The sequence below is a fragment of the Homo sapiens genome, chromosome 3 (genome assembly GCF_000001405.40).
Source record: "Homo sapiens chromosome 3, GRCh38.p14 Primary Assembly".
Lineage (NCBI taxonomy): Eukaryota > Metazoa > Chordata > Mammalia > Primates > Hominidae > Homo > Homo sapiens.
Window position 1 is genome coordinate 166,025,437 of NC_000003.12, and position 7,113 is coordinate 166,032,549.

At 41.8% G+C, this 7,113-nt stretch overlaps 1 annotated feature.

Moving 5' to 3' along the window:
• Nucleotides 765–1,266: an enhancer, noted in NCBI's record as "H3K4me1 hESC enhancer chr3:165743989-165744490 (GRCh37/hg19 assembly coordinates)". NCBI's record gives its function as "activates a minimal SCP1, AML or CMV promoter by ChIP-STARR-seq in naive H9 embryonic stem cells {active_cell/tissue: H9 hESC(naive)}" and the evidence as "EXISTENCE:reporter gene assay evidence [ECO:0000049][PMID:30033119]".

Consider the following 7,113-nt stretch of genomic DNA (forward strand, 5'->3'; position numbering starts at 1 on the left):
CTTCTGGCTTGTAGAGTTTCTGCCGAGAGATCTGCTGTTAGTCTGATGGGCTTCCCTTTGAGGGTAACCTGACCTTTCTGTCTGGCTGCCCTTAACATTTTTTCCTTCATTTCAACTTTGGTGAATCTGACAATTATGTGTCTTGGAGTTGCTCTTCTCGAGGAGTATCTTTGTGGCGTTCTCTGTATTTCCTGAATCTGAACGTTGGCCTGCCTTGCTAGATTGGGGAAGTTCTCCTGGATAATATTCTGCAGAGTATTTTCCAACTTGGTTCCATTCTCCCCGTCCCTTTCAGGTACACCAATCAGACATAGGTTTGGTCTTTTCACATAGTCCCATATTTCTTGGAGGCTTTACTCGTTTCTTTTTATTCTTTTTCTCTAAACTTCCCTTCTCACTTCATTTCATTCATTTCATCTTCCATCGCTGATACCCTTTCTTCCAGTTGATCGCATTGGCTCCTGAGGCTTCTGTATTCTTCATGTAGTTCTCGAGCCTTGGTTTTCAGCTCCATCAGCTCCTTTAAGCACTTCTCTGTATTGGTTATTCTAGTTATATGTTCTTCTAAACTTTTTTTCAAAGTTTTCAACTTCTTTGCGTTTGGTTTGAATGTCCTCCCGTAGCTCGGAGTAGTTTGATCATCTGAAGCCTTCTTCTCTCAGCTTGTCAAAGTCATTCTCCATCTAGCTTTGTTCCATTGCTGGTGAGGAACTGTGTTCCTTTGGAGGAGGAGAGGCACTCTGCTTTTTAGAGTTTCCAGTTTTTCTGCTCTGTTTTTTCCCCATCTTTGTGGTTTTATCTACTTTTAGTCTTTGATGATGGTGATGTACAGATGGGTGTTTGGTGTGGATGTCCTTTCTGTTTGTTAGTTTTCCTTCTAATAGACAGGACCCTCAGCTGCAGGTCTGTTGGAGTACCCAGCCATGTGAGCTGTCAGTCTGCCCCTGCTGGGGGGTGCCTCCCAGTTAAGCTGCTCAGGGGTCAGGGGTCAGGGACCCACTTGAGGAGGCAGTCTGCCCGTTCTCAGATCTCCAGCTGTGTGCTGGGAGAACCACTGCTCTCTTCAAAGCTGTCAGACAGGGACATTTAAGTCTGCAGAGGTTACTGCTGTCTTTTTGTTTGTCTGTGCCCTGCCCCCAGAGGTGGAGCCTACAGAGGCAGGCAGGCCTCCTTGAGCTGTGATGGGCTCCACCCAGTTCGAGCTTCTGGGCTGCTTTGTTTACCTAAGCAAGCCTGGGCAATGGCGGGCGCCCCTCCCCCAGCCTCGCTGCCACCTTGCAGTTTGATCTCAAACTGCTGTGCTAGCAATCAGCGAGACTCCATGGGCGTAGGACCCTCCAAGCCAGGTGTGGGATATAATCTCCTGGTGCGCGGTTTTTTAAGCCCGTCGGAGAAGCGCAGTATTCGGGTGGGAGTGACCCGATCTTCCAGGTGCTGTCTGTCACCCCTTTCTTTGACTAGGAAAGGGGACTCCCTGACCCCTTGTGCTTCCCGAGTGAGGCAATGCCTCGCCCTGCTTCGGCTCGTGCACAGTGCGTGCACCCACTGACCTGTGCCCACTGTCTGGCACTCCCTAGTGAGATGAACCCGGTACCTCAGATGGAAATGCAGAAATCACCCGTCTTCTGCGTCGCTCACGCTGGGAGCTGTAGAGGGGAGCTGTTCCTAGTTGGCCATCTTAGCTCCTCGATCAATAAGTAGTCTTATATTACTCCTAAATATTAAAGGAAACTGCTTTAACATTGATAACCTCCTTTCTGGTTATATGCTATTTTTTCTGTTTATTTTCTACTGATACCTAATAGTTGTTCAAATTTATGAGGTACATGTGCTATTTGGATAAATGCACACAATGTGTAATCATCAAATTAATGTAATTGGGATATCCATTAACTTAAAAGTTTATCACTTTTTTCTGTTGTGATCATTCCAAATCTTCTCTTCTCGGTATTTTGAAATACATGAGAAAATATTGTTAATGACAGTCCCCCTGCTGTGCTATCAAACACTAGAATTTATTATTTCCAACTATATTTTTGTATCCAGTAACTACCTTCTTTTCATCTGCCCCCCACCCCAAGTGTCTTCCCAGCTTCTGGTAACCACTATTCTACTTACAGTCCTCATGAAATCAACACAGTAAAGAAACAACCCACAGAATGAGAGAAAATATTTGCAAACTGTTGATTTGAAAGGAATTAATAACCAGAATACAGAAGAAATCCAAACAAGTCAATAGCAAAAAGACATAAATAATCCAATTTTAAAATGAACAGGTGATCTGAATAGACATTTCACAAAAGATGACATACAAATGGCAACAAACGGCCAACAGGTGTATGAAAAAAATGCTCAACATCAGTAATCATCAGGAAAATGCAAACTGAAAACATAAGATATCATCTCGCTCATGTGTTATTTGCCAATACATTTGATATTTTTTAAAAGATAAAGTATTTATTGCATCTTCTTTCGGTTTCCACTTGCTTCTTTTAGAAATACTTTCTCTATTAGAATTGTAATGAATAACTGTGAATAACATCGATTAATGTTTGATAATACAAAATTATTTGCACTTATCTCACTCAACATATAAGATAAAATTGCTTCTGGTGGTTAAACTATTTGGAGGTTTAATAGTTAATAATGTCTCGGTATACTTAGGGTGTTTCTTTTCTAGATGGAAAACTCTGTGGCTGATGGAGCCTTTGCTCAAGTTTTGCTCAGGCCTGCTGGTCTCATTCCTTTGACTTAGCCTGGGAGGCTGCTCTCCTCTCATGCTACCAGCCCAGATCCCACACCTGCCAAGGGTGAGCCAGAGAGGGGTGCATAAGTAAGTAAGCATGGGGATTGGTTACTGAGCACAGCCAGGCATACCGGCTGCTGTGGTAGGGTGGGCAGCTCCGGGTGCTGGCACAGGTGCTGGCTCCATGCAAGCCTGCACCTAGATTGGATGCACTGCAAGTGGCTTCCACTGTGGGCACCCACATCTGGACAAGGGGAACATGATGGTGGCCTAGAATCTTGGACAGGCCAGATACCACAGAGTCCTAAAGAGGGTGTCACAACCCTGGCTCAGGGAGTCCCTAGGTATGGGCTTCCCAAATGGCTGCAGCTGTTATATCCTTTTCATGACCCATAATGTGGCAAGTGGGGACCCGGACATTTCAGCTGTTTGTGTTATGTCTCTTTCAGTCCCATCATTTGGCAGGTCCCGAGTTCTTGTCCTGCATCCAGGAAGAATGAGGTACATCAACAACTGGAGGGTGGGCAAGGTGGAGAGGAGCTTCATTGAGTGAAAGAACAGTTGTTGGGAGACCCGAAGTGGGTAGCTCCTTTCCATAGGTAGGTTATTTCAGTGAGTGTCCAACTCTGAGCAGAGAGGAGATCCAGAATGGATAGCTGCTTTTCACAGGCAGGTAGTCCTGAGAAGTGCAGCCCTCAGCAAAGAGAAGACCCAGAATGTGTAGCTCCTATCTGTAGGCAGGTTGTCCCAGTGAGTGTCCAGCCCTCAGCAGAGAAGAAACCAGAGTAGCTCCTTTCTGCAGGCAGGTAGGTAGTGCTGATGAGTGCAGCCCTCAGAAGAAAGGAGACCTGGAGTGGATAGCTCCTATCCACAAGAAGTATCCAGAAAGTATCCAGCTGTCAGTGGATAGGAGAACTGGACTGAGTAGCTTCTTTCTTTAGGCAGGTCATCCCAATGAGTGTTCAGCTCTCAGTGGAGAGGAGACCCAGAGAGGGTAGCTCCTTTCTGCAGTCAGGTTGTCCTGATGAGTGGAGGACACCTAAATTGGGTAGCTGCTTCCCAGAGCTGGTAGTCCTGAGTCTCTGAGTCTGGCTGAATCTGAGGTTTTTATGGGCTCAGAAGGGAGGAAAGGTGTGCTGATTGTTCCATGGGCAGCCATGGGTGGGCCCAGAAAAACCACCATAAATTCTCACTCTGGGCTATAGACTCCACCTGGAATTGATAGCCGGGCTCCCAGGCTTCAGGCCATCCCTGGCTTAAAGGTGGGACTATGTTGGGGACCCACCCCTTTCCACTCAAGAGCCTGTCTGCCTCCTGCCACCATCAATCACGTCATGCACAGCACCCAGGATGTTCCTGCCCAGGGGCACCTGCAGGCATTCACCAATCTGCTCTTAGCCCCCCCCCACTTCCTACCACATTTATTGGTGCCCAAAGCAAAGTTCAGAGGAGGCCAAGGTGGCAGAGGGCTGGTGTGTCCGTGCCAGCCTGATTGCATGCACATGTGGCCAGTTTGTGACAGTGCCCAGGCTTGACCACAACTTTGCTCCAACCCAGACTGGGCACTGGGTATGGGGAGAGGCCAGGCAGCTGGAGCAGGTGCTTCTGAGCCTGAGGCTGCTTGGGGACTTCCTGGGCCCCCAAGAGTGCAAGGATGACTGGGTCTGCAGCTACAGCTGCGTGACTGCAGCTCTACCTGGGAGTACCAGGCTCCTTCCCCACCAACTCAGAAGGAGGCGGGTCTCCTGCCTGTTCCCAGCTCCCTCCAGCTCCATGGAGTACACAGGCCAAGCTGCACCTCCCTTTCTGCAGCCTGTGCCTTCACAGTGTGGCCACTTCAGATGGGCCACTGCTGCCATCAATAATTGTAAACTTATATTATCATGTCTTGCTTTCATTCTGAGGTTCCCCATTGGATTAGATGGTAGAACAGCACCATGAAGAAGGGTATTCTTTTTTCAATCTTCTTTGTTAAGATCTCTCTCTATATATATATTCAAGATCACTTTGAATTAAAATTTCTAAGCTATGAAGTATTCCACATTTTATATGAAATGCAATTTTTGATTACTTTTGCTCCTGAGAGAAAACTTTTCCATGCAGATCCCAGAGATTAATAAATACTTTAAATTTTCTATTTAAAATGATACAGAACATTTTGCTTAACATTTCATACTGAGGCTCTCTCAAGTTTTCAATTATAAGTAGAATCTCAGTTCTAAATTTCTGCCTCACAAGAACCTCAATATTTAATCTACTGCCCTCACATACTTGTTAATATTTCTTAAGTTATATATTCCTGGATGGTAACCATCATCATAGAAACCTGCAACTCAAGCCTGTTTCTTATCATATTTATATATATACAATGACATGTACATGGATATGTACAGTTTTATATATACTGATATATATAAATGTATATATGCCATATATACATAAATACATCTTACATATAATTGGATAATATTACATACAAATATATATTACATATATAATATTACCCATATATATGTAGTATATATTTATATTATACACCCATGCACATATGGGTATATAGGTAAATATAGCATATGTATTGATAAATGTAGTATATATTTTTATACACAAACACATATCTAAATGTATACTTTTATATCATATATATTTTTATTCATACACTCACAAGTATATTCAATCCACCAACAGAAACCCCTTTATTTATCCTCTTTTTCTTCAATTTCAAAGCATTTGATCCTACACAAACATTGTAAAGTGAAAGGACTAGAAATGGCACTAGATCCCTAGATTTATATTGTCCATTTTATCACTGTGTAATGAAATTCTTCTTACAGTATTTTTGACAGATGGTTATCCATTGCTTGTGTTAGGAAACTCACTGTACATATTAACTGTTCATTTCATTCCCCAATTTCTCTAGTTGCTGAAATAGCATATAAAATTCATTGATTTTTATCTCTATTTTCTTTTTTTTTTAGCAATCATTATTTTCAAGAAAATGCTATAGTGAGTGACATGGAACTCACTAATAGATACAGCTAAAAATTCACTTCTGCTGATAACAAATTCAACAAACAAATTTGGATAGAACAACTTTAGTAGGTCATTGTACTTTTACCCAAGTGGAAAATAATGTCTTTATTTCTAAATTAGTAGCTAAATACATTTATTTCTCCTTCCAATCTACCATGTAGAAAAGAAGTAATATATCCTAGCATATCATAATATATTGATTCAGAATGTAAACTTTGGAGTCAGACCTCCTTGGGTGGATTCTGACTCTACACTTACTAGCTTTACCTGTAGATCTTGAGAAAATGACTTACACATTTTATTTACCTGCAAAATGGGATAAAATGGTATTTTCTTAATGGAAATCAAATAAAGTAGTTCAAACAAAAGATTTAGGCCAATGCCCAGCTGTTGTTGTATTGATGACAAGGAAATTTATATTTAAAAATATTAAGGAGAAAGAAACTAGTCTACCATTTTTGTAATAACATCTTACAGAAGAACATTTGATTGGCAGGGAGTGGATTGCTTAGGACAAAGCTTATGACAATGGTATATGTTTTGGATTTGTTGCAACAGCCATATTTAGCTACTAAACTCTATGCTAGGTATAATACAAGCTCAGGATGCTGTAACAGAGTTCCAAAAACAACACTGGCTTAAACAAGATGGAAGTATTCTATAACTGTAAAATAATTGTATCATAGGCAGTTCAGGGCTATAACTGTGGTAGCGTTGAGTTAGGGACACAAGTGTTTTCTGTTTTGTTACTCTGTCATTCTTCACATGTGGCTTTGATATGTTTGCATAAGGCAAGTGTATAATATCTTTGCATAAGGCATCATATTTATATTTCAGGTAGCATAAAAGGGAGAAAATGAATGAAGGCCATGATTTCTTTCTTTAAGCCTGAATCAGTAATTTGTACATATCACCCACTCTGTTAGCTAGAACATAGTTATATACACACATCTAACTGCAAAGGAAGCCGAGGCATATGGTATTTATCTTTGCAACTAAGAGAACAATTAAACTGACAGAAGCTCTATTATTTAATGAAATGGGAGAAAGTAAGTGTTGGAGGGTAACTTAGAATAACTTTCATTATTCACCACCTCTGCCATCCAAATATAGTTTTTTAAAATAATCTCAACTATATTTCAGATTAGAGAGTACACGTGCGGCCTGTTACATGGGTACATTGCATGACACGGAGGCTTGGGATATAAATGCTTGTGTCACCCAGGTAGTAAGCACACTAACAAATAGTTTTTCTACTCTTGTTCTCCCTTCCATTTACCCTCTCTAGTTGTCCTTATTGTTTATATTTCCCATCTTTATGTCCGTGTATACCC